The 18,471-nt window shown below is 37.0% G+C and overlaps 1 protein-coding gene across 32 annotated transcripts in view; it reads right to left on the bottom strand.

Annotated features, from left to right (window-relative positions):
* ADAM22 (ADAM metallopeptidase domain 22) overlaps positions 1–18,471 on the bottom strand; it is a 268,639-nt gene that overhangs the window by 209,695 nt on the left and 40,473 nt on the right. For all 32 annotated transcript variants that reach the window (XM_017012330.3, NM_001391975.1, XM_017012335.3 and 29 more), the window contains one exon: positions 14,783–14,859. In XM_017012330.3, coding sequence (XP_016867819.1) covers positions 14,783–14,859 — 77 coding nt within the window. The remainder of the gene's footprint in view (positions 1–14,782; positions 14,860–18,471) is intronic.

Here is an 18,471-nt window from a genome sequence, read left to right as displayed (position 1 = left end):
TGAACTCAGCAGCAGTATCACAGTAGCACTCAAGTCTATTTATTCCTCAAGGTTACCTTTACCAAAATTCTCTTTGGCAGACCCTCTAGCTATCTCTCCAATATCCACCCCATACGCCACTAGCCAATAGATTCCTTGTTTGGTCAGTGATCCTCTCTTCTCCTATATGATACGGGGAAAGGCGAACTCACCTCAGTTCTGCGGTGATCCTGACTAGTATCAACTAATCACAGAGGTACCTTTTACTTTACCAAGGTTTAAGAGGAGTTTTGACCCAGTTCTAGCCAACGAGACCTCTGAAGTTTTGGTGAAAAGGTTCCGTTTCCCTACAATGAGTCAGAGGAAGAGGTGGTCTTTTTGTCTTTTCTGGACCCAAGAATGACAAAGCAGCATGGCTAGAGTCACACTTGGGGCTGTACAACCTTTGGATTTACAGTTATACGAGATCATGAATCTCCTTTTAAGATACTTGAGTCAGACTTTTTTGTTACTTTCAGTCCAAAGCATTATCAAAATGTGCTATAGAAAAAAAATTTATGAATAAGTAAGCAATATCTTCACTTACAGTAGACCTAAAAACGAATACTACCTATGGAAATCAGGAATTATTTTGATAATCAAAACCACTAATCAAAGTAGGCTTCTTATTCAATATTTCAAAACATATCAAGTATCTATTTTCATGATTAATCAAACTTCCATACTGCTATCAAAGTTATCTTTATGAAAAACGTACTAACGTTAACATTCACTTAAAAACCTTGACAGTCCTCCATTACCAACAAAATGAAGTCCCCCTTTGTTAGTGCAGTCATTAACACCTTTGTTAGTGGAGTCACCAACACCTTCCCTAGGCCCCAACCAAACAAAGCATCTTAGCCTCCCAGCCCTCCCCAGCCCCCTGAACTTCATATAATTCTCTGGGGGCACTTTCATATCGCTATATCCTTGTTCCATCTCTTTCCTCTGCTTTAGATAACCTGCTGTAGCAAAATCTTACACAGCTTTGAAACCCACAAAAAACACCAATTTTTCTATGAAGCTTTATCAGAAGCCCTTTAACCAGGCAAGATTGTTCATTCTTTCCCTGGGTGGATACCATCTTGCACTATAGATCACCAGATAAATATTTGTTTCCTCTACATGGTCAAGAGTGGCTTGAACACAGAGAGCATTTCTCTGATCTAAGCTGAATCTGATTAAGGTTCACTTATCTCTGATCAAATGTCTTTCAGTTGTGAGAGAAAAACAGATTAAGTATTTCACTAGTGAGTTTTAAGAGTGTTTCAATCTTGGGAAGAGTAAGAACTTACCCCTTTAGAATTCTAATGTTTCTTTAAAATTCTGATTATCACCTCAAACTTACTATGGTTAACTACCATGGCATTCTAAAAATAGCTATTTCTGAGATCTTATATTTCACTCAATTTAATTAATATGTGCAAAGCAATCCTCCCAAAAGTCAAAGAATTGAAATGCTTGTCACTGATTTGTGTGTTGGTTCAATACTTGATTAAAAATAAGGCTAGTGCCGGGCGCGGTGGCTCACGCCTGTAATCCCAGCACTTTGGGAGGCCGAGGCGGGTGGATCATGAGGTCAGGAGATCGAGACCATCCTGGCTAACAAGGTGAAACCCCGTCTCTACTAAAAATACAAAAAATTAGCCGGGCGCGGTGGCGGGCGCCTGTAGTCCCAGCTACTCGGGAGGCTGAGGCAGGAGAATGGCGTGAACCCGGGAAGCAGAGCTTGCAGTGAGCCGAGATTCCGCCACTACATTCCGCATTCCGGCCTGGGCGACAGAGCGAGACTCCGTCTCAAAAAAAAAAAAAAAAAAAAAAAAATAAGGCTAGTGATAGCTGTCAGTCTTTGGCATTTTTTAATATAATAAGTTAAGATGATAATAAACAACTGAAATAGGGAAATGAAGACAAAGATTAGTCTATAAACTAGTCACCATAAAAAACTAGAAATCAATTCTAAGATATAATAAAAAGTCAATCTGATTGTCCCAGAAAGCAAAAGGCTCTCTTCCTGTCCCAGAATACAAAGAAGCACTTAAAGATTAATAGGGTCATGTCAAAAAAACACAGAAATCAAAAGGGCTTCTATAAACCAACTTTAGAAAGATTTGAATATCACAAAGAAAAATGATTGAAATTGAGTGTGAATATCACATAAATAAAAATCCACAAGTCCATTCTACATTCAATTATTTTAAAAGAGGGAGAAAGGCTGGGTGTGGTGGCTCACGTCTGCAATCCCAGCACTTTGGGAGGCCAAGGCAAATGGATCACTTGAGGTCAGGATTTTGAGACCAGCCTGACAACATGGCAAAACTCCGTCTCTACTAAAAATACAAAAAAATTAGTTGGATATGGTGGCAGGCGCCTGTAATCCCAGCTACTCGGGAGACTGAGGCATGAGAATCAATTGAACCTGGGAGGCAGAGGTTGCAGTGAGCTGAGATGGCACCACTGCCCTCCAGCCTGGGCTACAGAGCAAGACTCTATCTCAAAAAAAAAAGAAGAAAAGGGGAGAAATAAATGTACCTTTTGTTTAGGGATAGATATATAAGTGATAAAACTATAATGAAAAATCACTGAACTGATTATCACAGAAGTCAGGGTGATTGTTTCCAATAGTGGGGAGGGAAAGTGTACATTGGAGGATTGTGGGATACTGGTAATGTTCTATACCTGGGTAGAGTTATCTTAATAATTATTCTGGTTCTCCTAATAATTATTTAAAAATGTTCATGTATGTTACTTATTTGGTGTATGTTAGACTTCAATATTTTAAAAGTATTTAAAATAAATGATTTTTCATCAGTTACAATGTAAAAACATAAAATGAGCAAAGGTTAGTGTCTGTAGAAAAATGATCTACAATTATCTCCAGCAGATCGTATACTTCTGTTCAATAAAGCTCCATTGCACTCCCAGTGCCACTGGCCATACCTCTTTTATGCTCCTTTACACACTGTATCACTGTTTGCTTTTCTACTCAGACCACGTTGTCATGTCCTTGAAGATAGGGTCTTTATCTTTTTGTATCTATCACCCCAAAACCTGTATATAGAGTACATCAAGTGTACTCTATATACACTTGATGGATGGATAGATGAGTGAATGAATAAATGAGTAAATAAATCAACAAATAAGCAAGTAGTATGAAACACATTCTCTTCTGATACTTTGAAGCTTCAAGTTACTCAAGTAACTATCAGCAATAATACACTGAATTGGAATATAAATAATTCTTTTTTTTTTTCTTTGAGATGGAGTCTCACTCTGTCACCCAGGCTGGATGGAGTGCAGTGGTGTGATCTCTGCTCACTGCAAACTCCACCTCCCAGGTTCAAGCGATTCTCCTGCCTCAACCTCTTGAGTAGCTGGGATTACGGGTGTGTGCCACCACCCCTGGAAAATTCTGGTGATTTTAGCAGAGACGAGGTTTCACCATGTTGGCCAGGCAGGTCTCAAACTCCTGGCCTCAAGCGATCTGGCCGCTTTGGCCTCCCAAAGTGCTGGGATTATAGGCGTGAGCCACCATGCCCAGTCAAGAATTCACTTTTTAAACTACATATCTCTGACAACAGTGTTAATAATAGTAGCAAAGAAAAACAAATGTAATTAGTTTTCTACTAACCAGGCTATATAGCATGAGTATGAATACTATACAGGGGAGAATCACTTGAGCACAAGAGTTCAAGGCTGTAGTGCGCTATAATCATGCCTGTGAATAGCCACTGCATTCCAGCCTGAACAACATAGCAAGACCCCATCTCTAAATAAATAAATAAATAATATACAATAATATAGCCTGAAAAATTTAAATATCTAAAAAATACTAAATATGAATAAAAATAATCACTTGACAAAAATGAGTCAGGATAAAAATCAACTCTTTAAACTTTCCATCTGTTTCTATTCTATGTACCTGGAAACTTACCATAGCTTGTTTATATCTAAGAAATAATGTTTTAATTAAAGAACCCATTCATAAATGATAGCGTGATGGCATAAGGTCATTCAAATATCCTATATGTTATATTTCACCTTCAAAAACCAAACCTAAACTTTCATGTGGAAACATCTCTGATTAAGGCATAAAGCTTGACTATTTTAACTTTTGACTCTGGAAACAAAGCATACACAAACAGTAGAATTAATCATTCATTTGCTAATTCTTGCCTGGGGACATTAACAGAGAAAGCACAATAAACCAATTTTTTAGGGAAAATCTTCCATTTTTCTTCCTGCAACTACAATTTCTCTTTTAAAAGAATACAGTGAAAAAGCTACTTCTCCAGACTAAGACTAAAGGGAAGTTGCCTGTAACAGAGTTATTTTACCATGTCTACTAGAGAGGGTTAGGGATATGTGTGTTTGTGAATTTAAGAGGCCTACTCGCTACTTCTATCATTGCTAAAAAGCACACCTGAACCCCTGAGAACCAGAGAAAGTAAAAAGGGCAAAGGCAGCACAAAAAATAATCTTAAGGCCTCTACAGGCCCCATCTCTCCAATAATTTTGAATTGGATAACACTGAAGTTAAGAAGAAATAATTATCAGTAAGTCAGTAAGTCATAAGATTTTCTTAAAATAAAATACGCAAATATGACTTGCTTTAAAATATACAATTAATATGGAAATACCTTCCGATAAAACACTAACTTAATATATATCCTACTATAAGACAAGTTTCTGATTTTTTATCCCTGAGGGCCAAGTATGTGCTCTGGCAAAGGGGTGTGCTAAATGAATGAAACCCACATGTGGTTGTTACAGCACAGTCCTCACAGAGGTGCATCACAGTGCCTTTCTCTGGCAAAATCCCATAGTGTTATATTAGTACCTAGCTATAGTTCCTCCCAGGTACCATTCATATAACAGTGACCAAGATGCCATTCTGCAATAATGTGTATGACATCCTTCATAACATCAAACCATGATGCTATGCCTTGCTGCTTGTAGATTCTTATCCAGTGCTTTCCGGACCATTTCCTCAAAGAAAGTTCAAGCTAAATTTCTATACTCTACCAGTTTCCAAGAAGAGACTTCAGCTTCTCTAAAATTTTCATTTAAATAGTCACTGTTAATCTTTCTTTGTTTCTTTGCAGTATATCTGGTATTATCACTTCTGCACCATTATAGGTCAAAACTGTTTAATTTTATTATAGACAAAATAATAAAGGAGTCAACTGAGAATAAGGTAGCTACAGTCCCTGTCTGAGAATGGTTATAGTTAACACTCACAGGACAAGGGTATACAGTACAATCTGCCACACACTCATTAGCTAAGAAGATATGCCAACAGGTGAAACACAGGAAAATATACATATATTCAGAGTGTGAAGTAACAGATTGATATACAGACATACTGAGATAAATATTTCAGAGACAAAGTAATTAAGCCAGCTCTGTGCAGATGGTATCACCAGGAGTAAGCACGCACCTTATACCTCACTCTAAAACATAGTCCTTACTGTAAAACAAATATAACTATTAGAGAACAAGTTTCCAATTATTCAAATGGAATCTTTTATCTTGCAAAGATTTTGTTCATCCAATAGTTTAACAGCCATATCATAAACAAATTACATTAAATATGTCTGGGAACCCAATGTGTCAAACCTGGCAAAGTTCCCTGTGGTTGGGCTGTACCACTATCACTGCTAGATAATTTAAGAAAGTTCAATGATTTGACACCTGGGGCCAGGCGTGGTGGCTCACGCCTGTAATCCCAGCACTTTGGGAGGCAGAGGCAGGCAGATTACCTGAGGTCAGGAGTTCGAGACCAGCCTGGCCAACATGGTGAAACTCTGTCTCTATTAAAAATACAAAAATTAGCCAGGCATGGTGGCACACACCTGTAATCCCAGCTACTTGGGAGGCTGAGGCAGGAGAATTGCTTGAGCCCGGGAGACGGAGGTTGCAGTGTGCTGAGATTGTGCCACTGCACTCCAGCCTGGCCAACAGAGTGAGACTGTCCAAAAAAAATAATTAAAATAATAATAGTAATTTGACACCTGGGAGAAAAATAGCAGTGAGCTCTGATGATTTAATCTTTAACACATCTAATCACTGTAAAAATCTCAAAAGAACTTCTAGGGATTTATGCAAAAACATTTAATTACATTAAAGGTTTCATTGTTGCACATTGGAAGTGTTGACTATATCTAGCAAATTACATTTTTCACTCACCTGATAAATCTGTTGCACAAAAATATACAGCAATCATTTCAAATATAAAAATAGTATGTATGTGGTATTTTCCTTGAAAAACTAAAAAACACAAATTGTCTAAGTTATATTAAATAATTCTGCAATTATTTTATTTACAATTTAAATAACAGGCTCATAAGTATGCTAAAATCTCCAGATTCCCCTATTAAAAAAACAGGTAATACTAAAAATATCTAAAAGTCATATTAAACAATCATATGAAAGATAATGTGTCTGTGCTAAGTCTGTACTTTTTAAAAACAAACAAGAAAGCAGAAAGCTTAAATAAACCAGTAACATGAAGGTGTTACAGGAGCCTGATGCTACTCTAGTAAGCTCGGATATATCCTTATAATAGAGCTAACTCAAGCCTAGCACAGTATCCTCCTCACCCATGAGTTTGGCCTTTTGAATCCTGTAAGTCTCTAGTCCCTGGGGTCCTGTTGCCTCTAGGATTCCTTCCAAATACCCCTTCAGAAACAATTTCCTAGGTCTTAGCTTTAGTACTGGTCTCTTCCTTGGATCATTCTCTAGCTCTTTGCCAGACACATCCATGGATCTTCCAGCACCTTCCAATACAGTTCCCCTTTGCTCTGGACTTTGCAGCCAAAAGCTGCCCCTCTAACAACAAGGCCACCCTGGGCTGAGCACAAGAGACTTTGTGTCTGTGAGAAGAAGTTATAACTAGCCTTCCAAAAGTCTAGTTGTGGGATTCACAACTTTACCACTTCTCAACTTAGAACAAACAAGAAAAAGTGAATTATGCTTCAGCTAAAGAACAAGAAATGTAAGGTCTATATAAAGTTCCTCAAGGTATTCTACCAATAGTAGAATCCCAACCCTTAAAAAGTTTCAAAAGTTCAACGTAGATTTCAAAGGTAGAGTTTTACTATAAATCAAAAACATAAGATCGTAGCCATGAGAAGTATGGAACTCTTTCCAGACTTGCAGGAGACATGAAACTGAAAACCTGAAGCCTTAGTAACTATTTATACTTGACATCATCCCTCCTGCAAAATAGAATTTATAGAAAAACAGCTGTTATAGCACCATTTAAAAAAATCAAAAGCCTACTTTGGAAAATAGCTTAGCATTTCTCAAAGCATGAAACTACCATATGATCCAACCATTCCACTTCTAGGTATCTATCCAAGAGAAATGAAAACATATAGGCACGCAAAGACTACACAGACAGATTGTTCATAGTAACATTATTTATAATAGCCAAACACTAGAAAAAAACCAAATGTCCACCATCGGGTGAATGGATAGTCACAATGTGATATATCAATACAATGCAATAATATTTAGTAATAAAAGGAATGAACTGACACATATAGCATGGATGAACTTCAAAAACATGTCAAGAAGCCACATACAAGAATACATAGTGTATGATTCCCTTTATAAGAAATGTCCAGAAAACACAAATTTATAAAGACAGAAAGTAGATTAGTGATTGCATTGGGCTGGGACCAGGAATGAGGTTTACATGTAAATGGCAACAAACAATCTTGTTGAAAAATGAAAAGCATTTAAAAATTGAATTTTGGTGATTGCTGCACCACTCAGTAAAGGTACTGAAAATCACTGAATTGTATACTTGAAATGGGTGACTTTTATGAAATATAAAATAAATTCTTTTTTTTTTTTTGAGATGGAGTCTCACTCTGTCGCCCAGGATGAAGTGCAGTGGTGCGATCTCGGCTCACTGCAAGCTCTGCCTCCTGGGTTCACGCCATTCTCTTGCCTCAGCCTCCCGAGTAACCGGGACTACAGGCGCCTGCCACCATGCCTGGATAATTTTTTGTATTTTTAGTAGAGACGGGGTTTCACCATGTTAGCCAGGATAGTCTCAATCTCCTGACCTTGTGATCCGCCCGCCTCAGCCTCCCAAAGTGCTGGGATTACACGCGTGAGCCACCGCACCTAGCCAATAAAATTCTTTAAAAAAAAAAAAAAAGACTTTCATTGTATGCAACAAATATGTTCCTAAGCTAGGTGTGGTAGCTCATGTCTGTAATCTCAACATTTTGGGAGACTGAGGCAGGCGATCACTTGAGCTCGAAACCAGCCTGTGCAACATGGTGAAACCCTGTTTCCACTAAAAACACAAAAATTAGCTGGGCGTGGTGGTGCAGACCTGTAGTCCCAGCTACTCAGGAGGCTGAGATGGGAGGATTGCTTGAGCCCAGGGGGTTGAGGCTGTAGTAAGCCGAGATCACGCCATTGCACTCCAGACTGGGCAACAGAGCAAGAACCTGTCTCAAAAATAAGTCCCTAGAAGTTTATATATTTGATAAGATAACCAAAAATAAAAATAGGATTCGGAAAGAGGATTTAAGAATAGGAACGGGGAAATTTTAGAGTTTTCTGAGAAGCACACATAGATAAATATGGATAAAGGTAAAACACCCCATGGTGTGGACAATTCCTTGCAAAACTATAATTTCTCAAAGTTGGCCTCAAAAACAAGTAGAAAACCTGAATACATCAATAGACATCAAAAAAATTATTTATCAAAGATTTCTCTCTTAAAAAGCTTCCAGGACTAGTCAGCTTTCCCATTGGTGACACCAACCCTCCACAACAAGGCCTATAGATAGGTTTGGGCTTGTGGGTTCTTCAAGAAACCACTCTGGCAGATGTTAGCGGGCATCACTAGTGAAGGGAAACTGCCCGGCAGAGCAGCTGTCTGCAGGTCACTGCAGGGGGATCTACCAGTGGCAGGAATGTAATTATAAGATTAAAAGCTAGAGACTAATCTCAGAAATAGTTAAAGGAAACACTTGGGGATAGAGTTAATTTACACCAAGAATGTCGGCAGGGGCTTGTGTCATAATAATTAAGATAAAAAATAGGAATTGTAATTCTACTTTATAGTCACAACCAGAGAAGCCAGCAACATATGGGACAAAACAATGAATTATCCAACATGACAAAGTCAAGTTTATTATCAGCATCGAGAATAATTTTATATCCCATTAATATAATAAATCATAATAACAGGTCAAATAAGAAAATCCAAACCTATCTACAGGCCTTGTTGTGGAGGGTTGGTGTCACCAATGGGAAAGCTGACTAGTCCTGGAAGCTTTAACTGACTAGAAAAACATTCAATAAAATCTAATACCTATTACTTAAAATATAAGACAAAAGATATTGCTTTAACACAATAAAGACTAGCTCTCACAAATCAATAATCAACACTCTACTTACTTAACAATGAACATTAGTTATTTTTATTACAAAAAAAAAGATAAAAATGCTATTATCACCAAATTATACAGTTCAGAAACTTCTAGAAAAAGGATTAAGGTAGGAAATGGTAATAAGTAACATTTTGAAAAGAAAAACTCTAATTATTTGCCATTCATGTTATTGTCAAACTAGAATGTTACATTCAAACCTAAGAGAAACAATAAAAAGCCATTAGCAAAAATAAGAAAGTTCAATAAGGTGCAACACAAATCAGTGCCTTTCCTGTATAACACTAATAAATAATTATAAAATATGATGGAAAAATATTACACCCACAGTAGCAACAAAAACAAATACAATTCCTAGGAAAATACTCTACATGATATGTTCAGGGCCTATAAAAACAAAAATACTGAATTTTACTGACATATAAGAGAATGCTTAACATTTTAAAAAATACACTGTGATGTTGGATGGGAAGACTCAGCACTGTAAAAATGTCTATTTTTTCCAAATTAAAATATAAGTTTAGTGACAGTACAATAAATTCCAAAGGAAGAATGACAAAATTATTCTGAATTTCTATTTTAAAAGAGGCAAAAATATCTAAGAAAATTTTGCAACAGAAAACTAATAATGGAACATATTTCCATACTAGCTATTAAAACACATTATAAAGCTACAATAAATAGTATGATGGTACTAAGCCCTAAAATCAATGAAAAGATCTTCAGAAGAGATTGTTTTCAAAAAATATTAAAATATGTAATAACTGGGCCAGGCATGGTGGCTCATACTTGTAATCCCAGCACTTTGGGAGGCCGAGGCAGGTGGATCACCTGAGGTCAGGAGTTCGAGACCAGCCTGACCAACATGGAGAAACTCCATCTCTACTAAAAATACAAAATTAGCCGGGTGTTGTGGTGCACTGTAATTCCAGCTACTCGGGAGGCTCAGGCAGGAGAATCACTTGAACCCAGGAGGCAGAGATTGTGGTGAGCCAAGATTGCACCATTGCACTCCAGCCTGGGCAACAAGAGCAAAACTGTATCTCAAAAAAAAAAATTATATATATATATATATATATATATATATGTAATAACTGAATCTGATGAATAAATGTTCATAAGCCAGTAGGGGAAGTAGTGAATAATGCAACAAATAGTGTGGGGAAAAATCAATAACCTCTGTTTAGACTTTCACCCAAAGTCTTTCTGTTGCCTACAAGGCCCTAGATATTTTGGTTCCTTCTACTTTTCCAACCGCATTTAATAACTTGGCTATCCCTGTGCCAACCTCCTTAGCCACATTTCTGTCTCTCAAGCATGCTAAGCTTGTTCCTGCCTCAGGGCCCAGACCCTTGCTGTTCCCTCTGCATGGGGGCCCCTTACTTTCAAATGTCACCTCCTTAGAGATGGCCTGTCCCGGACAACCAATTCTCGAATGTGCTATTTTCATCCTCACACCAGACACTCTCTATAAATGGCACTGTCACTCTCTGAAATTACCTTATTTAACATGTTCATTGTTTGTTTCTCTGGCTAGATGCAAATTCCCTAAGAGTAAAGTCTTTGTTTCCTTTCTTCTCAAGTCTAAGTCTTCAGGGTCTAGAGAAGCTTTTAGCATTACTAGAGGCTTAGAAAACTTGTGTATGCATGTGTGTGTGTGTGTGTGTGTGTGTGTGTGTGTGTGTGTGTATATATATATATATATATATATATGAAATAAACATAAGGATTCCAAACTACTCCAAACACAGATTTGTCTTATACACAATAACTTTGTATTAAATGTACATGGGAACAAATATTCACCATAATGAATTTAGTTGAACAGCAAGGCATTCAGTTACAGATTTATTAATAACAGTGAGATATCTATTGTTATCATTATTATCACATAACATCATCATTTAATTATAATGTTATCCTCATCATTTATTTTTATCATCATCATCAGCCACACTGTAAATATAGCATGATGAGACTCTTCCAGAGTTAACTTTCAATTCCAATTGAATTCAGATCCTGTCTTTTATCCATGGTGATTTTTACTTTCCCTACAAATTCAAGAGCCACAGTATAAAGCAAGCAAGAGGTAACTAATTGGAAATGCTTTCTCTAAATGAGAGAAGGCAAGACTGAATGTTCTCTTTTAAACAGAATTTGGGTGTTCCTTGTCTAACCCTGCTTCTGCTTCTCTCTCTCTCTCCCTCTTCCCTATCCCCACACCACCTCCCATTCTTCATGGGCAACCCCATCTGCTGACATCTGTCATGCTTCAGTTCCTAGTTGTCCTCCCACCACTTACTGTAAAACTGGGGGAAAAGAAGACTGCTATAAGGATCATACAGTGAGAAAAACCATTTCGTTGTTATTGAAATAAGAAGACAAGAAGCTGAGAATCTGTAAAATACACTCAAAATTTAGGCACTGGATCATCCAGGATCTGAGAGCTGCACAACAGAATCCCTTCCAAAAAAAGCAGGCTATAAAAGATATTTTTCCTAATTGTTATATATTTCACATCATAAACAACCAACCACAGTCCACAGACAGTGCTTGCTTCTTTGTTGGGGGACTATGTGTGGTTTTTGTCAGGTCCTCTGTTGTAAAGGATCAAAGAATTCTGCTGAAAGGAAACATTTTTCAACATCTTGCATTGTTTGGAGCAGTTTAATTATCCACTTCTTCAAGAACAGGAGATGTACAAGAAAAAAAAATTGGACTGAATTGCTCAGATAATAGAGTTACATGTCTTTATTGAGCTTTCTTCTTTCCGAAGAATGTTTCACAATAAAATATAAGACTCATTGCTGACCTCTGGAAAGGTCCAATGCAGCCTAGGACTAGTGTGGCCAGACCAGGCCATATGTTTCATTTTGTTAATACATCTGTCCTAAAGAGTGAAATTTCACAACTACGACCCCATGAAGAAAAACTGCTCCCCACCCTTTTCTTGATAATTTTGACAAAAAAGAAACTGGCTGTGCTTTTCATTTTTAACCTTTCCATATTTTTATCAGCCTCCTGTGGAAGTTACTACTCAAAGGTTAAACTCTACTTATAGATATAATCTACTTATAGATAATTTTATTTACTGAACATTAAGAAGAAACATTATGTAATGATACTTTTCCATCCATTCCAATCAAAAAATATGTATTATTGGATCCATTCTGCAACCAGAAGCTAGCTACATGGACTTATTTAATTTTCCTCCAGTTAAAAAAATTTTCTATATGTTCCACAGCCCCAGAATTGCTTCATAAGAAAAAAAAAGTTTAAAGAACTTATTGTTCTTCACGTTCCTGCTCCTTAACCAACTTAAGACAATACACAAACTGAAACCACGAAAAACAAAATTCTACATTAAAAATAAGATAAACATTTTTGTATCACATCATGATTTTTATAGTATAAAGATAACAGCCACCTGCCACCTATGTTTAACATCGATCCCAGGCAAAAAAAAAAAAGAGCACAGTGCATGTTTCTCAGCCCAGGCTACCTCCATTTATGCTCTTATTTAATCTTTTATATGTCTTGTAGTTGCAAATTTGCATTGAAATAGAAAGAAAAATGCCCAATAGAGGTTTCTGCCAATATCTCAGAAGAAATTATGCTTCAACCCCAGTATTCTAAACTTCACGCTTTGATAAGTATGACCATATGTGTGTCTCCTTCAGGAAAAGAAAGTCTTTGGACTCGGATGTCTCCAAAGTAAGTGAGGCAGTTTGGCCAGAATGGACATGAATAAACATCCCTTCTTTGTTTGAGTATTAAAAGTCAAGGAATTACAGATGTCAGGAAGCAGAAAACACAGATTACCAACAGGGGCAATGATTTCAAAGAGGGATGGAAGGGAGTTATTAAAATAGAGACCTAAGAACCTGACTTTCCAAATCACACCTAGTATCTACATGCAGCTTTCAGAAGCTAGTCTCAAACATTTATCTTCTTTTTTGCTGTTTCACTCTTCCTCTCCTAGTCATCTTACCTCTGTCTCCTGGCTAATCCTATCCTCTGGTTTCTGAGTCAATATGACTCCCAGCCTGGAGTTTAACCCCTATATTAAGGATACATCAGTGAAGCAAAGAAAATCTCTGCCCTCAAAGAGCTTACATTGCAGGGGTAGGAAAAAGACTATAGACCAAATAAATAATCAAAATATCAAATATTAGATGGCCATACATCAATAATGGTAGTCAAACTTTTTTGACCTATAAAAATGGCAATGTCATAAGAATTCACCTATATATTAAATGGTGATAAGTATTATTTTTAAAATGAAACAGAGAAGGAGACTAGGTATTAAGTAGATGAGGGAGTGAAGGCAGAGAGGGTTATTGAGCATTTAAAATGTGGCTAATGCAACTGAAGAACAGAATTTTTAATTTTATTTGAATGAATTAATGTAAATTTAAACAGCCACAAGTGGCTAATGGCTACCTATCCAGATAACATGGTCCTAAGTCTTGCCTCTTACATGCCTTTTTAAATTAACTTCCATCTAGCTGGTTCCCCATTGCAGACAACTCAGGCTCTAATTCTCACTCTTAGTCTATTTGTCTGAATTTCTGGCCTCAGACTTTCTTCCTGTTGTAGAAATGCTTCCAGAAAACTATAGCCCAATTCTGCCCAGCTCAGAAGCATAGGCCTGGCAGAACCCTGGTCTCTGCCCACTTGCCCATGATCAGAAGTAGGATAGAAACCCTTTTTTAAAAAAGTGAACAGTAACTAACCAGATTTATTAAACACTACACTTAGACCAAATGCAAGAGATTAAATCCAGCAACAAATCAAAAGCACCTTCCAAACCTAAAATTCTAGATAGACAACTATTTCTAAAATTATATTGTATTCACAGGATAATCCCAGTACCAGAAACCTCACAGAAATCCACCACCACATCAAAGCATCTAATGAACACCAGGTACTATTTAACATCACATATCATGCAGCCAGTCCTCTGAATCATTAATCAAAAAGTGCAACCTTCTCTTTCCTGCTGTTCTCAAGGAAGATACTTCAATACCCAAAGTATTATTGTCATAATTTACTGTCATTCATAGGAAACTTAAGTTATAGATATTCTTACAAAAAATATTGGGGTAACTCTTGCCTTTCATTTTACATTCTTAACTCTATTATAGGTGCTCAATTTCAAATGAATATATATTTCTTGTTATCTGCCAGACTTTATAACCTACAGTAAATAAGTATAGTTTAAAATGTAGTATTTAACCGGTATAGGAAGACAAAGTAAAATATAGTAAGAAAAAACTTTACAAGTGGAAAATAAAGTGGATTCAATGTGTATCTGACAAAAGCAAGTGCAACTCAACACTTACTGATTTAGCACGACATCGAGAATGAATGACGTTCCAAAGGCATCAACCTGGAAGCTTGCTTGGTCAACATGAGTCAACTACAATATCAAAAAGAAAAAAGGTTATTTATTACTCAGCCATACTAATCAGACAATTAGTCTTTCTTATGATTATTTCAAAACACTTACAATATCATAAGAAAATAATTCAACATGGAGAATAAGTGAAAACATATTAAAGTAAAATTTACACCTTCTTAGAAGCCAAGCATTCACCAATGTGAAGTAAATTACCACCCAATCAAAGAGGACAAGTGCCCTACTTTTCTAGTTTACCTCAAGTGGTTAAGCATTTCATTTCTAAGATGACTGCACTTCATTCATCTTATCTGATTTTAAGTGACTAGCTCCTTTAAAATAAAGTTTTGTACATTTGGAAAGAAAATAAGTAAAATATGCTCAATTCAAGAATAAAATAATATGGTGAATATGATCTATTTAGAAAGAAGATATCTAAACCTCCAAAAAATCCTTTTTCGCTTATCACAAAGATATACTTTAAAAATAGTATTTCCTTTATAATTTACCAGACATAATTTCATCAAGGTTTCCACATCTTCCTAAAAGCAAAATTAAACCTCTGCACATCTACTGCCAATATCACCTATCAAAATGTTCTTGTGTTAGAAAAAAAAAATTCACTATTTCCTATGCTATCCTAGGAACTCCCAGAGAAAACCACAAGGGACTCTAAACTAAAAAATATAGTGTTTCCCATAGCACTAATATTTGCATACTGAATAATCATGTGAATTAACTGAAAAGAAAGGAGGAAGCAAAACTGTGTGTTCCATTCGACTCACCAAATATGAACAGTAGCTATATCCAAACAGTAGGACTCCAAATTATTGGAATTTTTCGTGTTTATGTTTCTACAGTATCCAAACCTCTAAAATCAATATGTATAATCACTAAAATGAGAAACGTGACAAACATTATTTTAGAGATTAAAAGCCACATGAGCAACTGCACATAGTATGTGAGGCCAACAGTGCTGCTGCTCCCTGAGAACCAGCACATCCCAGAACGGACATCTTAGGATTCTGTGGGGCCACAGGTGACCTCAACCATCCCTGGGATTTCACACACAGTAAACTATGAGATTAGGTGAAAGGAGAGAGTCTGATTAATAATAATAAGACTTTTTGGAAAGAAAGGATAATTCTTCTGTTTTAAAGTCTATCCTCCTAAAGAAGTAGGTATGGGAGAATCTTGTACTTCTGTTGCTAACACATTCTAATCCTCATAAAACTTCAAAAATTAAGAACTACCTGGGTACCTCTCAGCCTCATGAACCATTCAACTATAACTCTTAACTCTTCTCAACTAATACCCAGCCCCAACTAAATCTGTTTTCTTTTTTTATGGTAGTTCTTGGAGCCACACCTTACCCTTCATTTCCACCTCTGCCATACATCATATCCCCCGATCTTTCTAAAGTTGGCTCCTTATCAAAACCCCAAATGTAAGCCCTAGATTTTCTACTGTATCAAAAAAAAAAAAAGAAATAAAAAACCCTTCTCCCTGGATTTCAGGATCTTCCATAATCACCTTCCCCACCCCAGGCATAATGGTACATAAGCACCTACCCATAGCCCACCTACACTCAGTTCTCTCTTCTGCTCTTTAGTTCAAAAGCTATGTTCATTCCAACATTTTCTGTGGCTTTTTCATTCATTAATTTTGCTGAGACCTTTCCTGAACTAGACACTTCCCCAAAGCTGTTTCCCAGAAACGGCCCTACTCATCCTTCAAGATTTAGATCAAGTTCCACCTATAGTCGTCTAGGACTGCCAAAACAAAATACCACAGACTGGGTGGCCTAAATAGAAATTTATTTTCTTGCAGTTCTGGAGGCTGGAAGTCCAAGGTTAAGGTGTTGGTAGATTTGGTTTCTCCTGAGGCCTGTCTCCTTGGCCTGGAAATGGCCATTTTCTCTCTGTGTCCTCACATAGCCTTTTCTTTGTAAGTGCACATGCCTGGTGTCTCTTTCTCTTCTTATAAGGACACCAGTCATATTGGATTAGGGTCCCACCCTTATGACCTCATGTAATCTTAATCACCTCTTAAAGGTCTCCCATCTCCAAACACAGTCATGTTGGGGGTTAGAGTTTCAACATTTAAATGTGGGGAGGGCATAATTCAGTGCATAGCACCCCTCTTCCATGAAGCCTTTCCAACCTCGTCTAGCCTCCTCATCTCCTCCTCACTACAGGTCAATATCACATCAAGACCTCAGTACTTGACCAGCACCAGGTACTTAGTTGATCTTCTGATTGCCTGATTCATTCGAAGGTTGTTATCAATCCCCTGGATGTATAAATGAACAACAACTGAACAGCTATAAGTTAACTGCTTATAGAAAGACACTCTTTCCATCAGAGTTGCTTTTAATGTGATGTCAATGGATAACATCACTCCCTCTACCTAAAGCTCTTTGAGTTTCCTAGAGTGCTAACAACTGTGTTTTGGGAAGAGCCTCTGCTTACCAGAAATGATGTTTCAGTTAAAATGAACCTCTCCCTCCTCCATCCTTATTGTAGGACTATTAAAGCTCTTACCTCAATTTCCTTTGAATCAGAAATATTAATGTTGCAAATTTGTGGTGAAAAACACAAGGGCCACGTGTTATTCACCTTGGTATCATGATTACAGCTTGGATTGAGGTAATGTTAAAATTCTTCTTGGCAAGGTATTTACTGTCTGCATTAATTATAATTCTTTTTCCTGCAGCTCCATTTTACATCTGGTATCTTATTTTATTGATCTCAGTTATGTCCCAATGAGAAACTCATGTACTTAAATTCAAAAGAAAATCCATTGACAGAATGCTTAACTACTGCTTAGTAAGAATGTTTGCATTATTGATAGTAATAGGAACAGGAGTATGTTAACATAGTTTTAATATAAGGCAAGCTTTCTTAGACTATATACAGATTGATTCATTCAATAACCTTCTTCTGAGAGCCTACCAAGTGCTGGGAGCTATTTAGATTTGGGGGACAAAGTAGTGAAGAAAACTGATCATGTTTCTGCTCCTGTGGAGTTTATCTGATAGTAGAGGAGACAGAAAATGAACAATTAAATTAAAAATAAGTTTAGAAAATAAACATAGTATTCTCAGACTTAATAAAACAGAGAAATGCTGTCGAGAATGACCAGGGAAGATGGAGGTCTAAGGGTGTCTCAGAAGGCCTCCAGAAGGAGGTAATATCCAGGTAACAACATTAATAACTAGAAGGAATCTGCGGTAGGGAAAATAATGACCCCTAAATATGCCTACACCCTAATATCCAGAACCTACGAACATGTTACCTCACATGGAAAAAGGGACTGTGCAGATATTGTTAAGGACCTTGACTTGGGGAGATTATCCTGGATTATCTGGATGGGCTCAATCTAATTACATGAGTCCTTATAAGTGGAAGGCAACAGGGTTAAAACCAGAGAAGAAGGTATGATGGTGGAAGTAGAGATCAGAGTGCTAAGAGGAAGAGGGCAGGAACCAAGGAATGCAGACAGCCTCTAGAAACTAGAAAAGGCAAGGAATGAATCTCCCTTAGGGCCTCCAAAAGGAGCAAAGCACTGCCAATACTTCATCTTATCCTTGTAAGACCTATTTCAGGCTTCTGACCTCCACAGTTGTAAGAC

This window comes from Homo sapiens, chromosome 7 (assembly GCF_000001405.40).
Source record: "Homo sapiens chromosome 7, GRCh38.p14 Primary Assembly".
NCBI lineage: Eukaryota > Metazoa > Chordata > Mammalia > Primates > Hominidae > Homo > Homo sapiens.
This window is presented reverse-complemented; position numbering and strand designations above follow the sequence as displayed.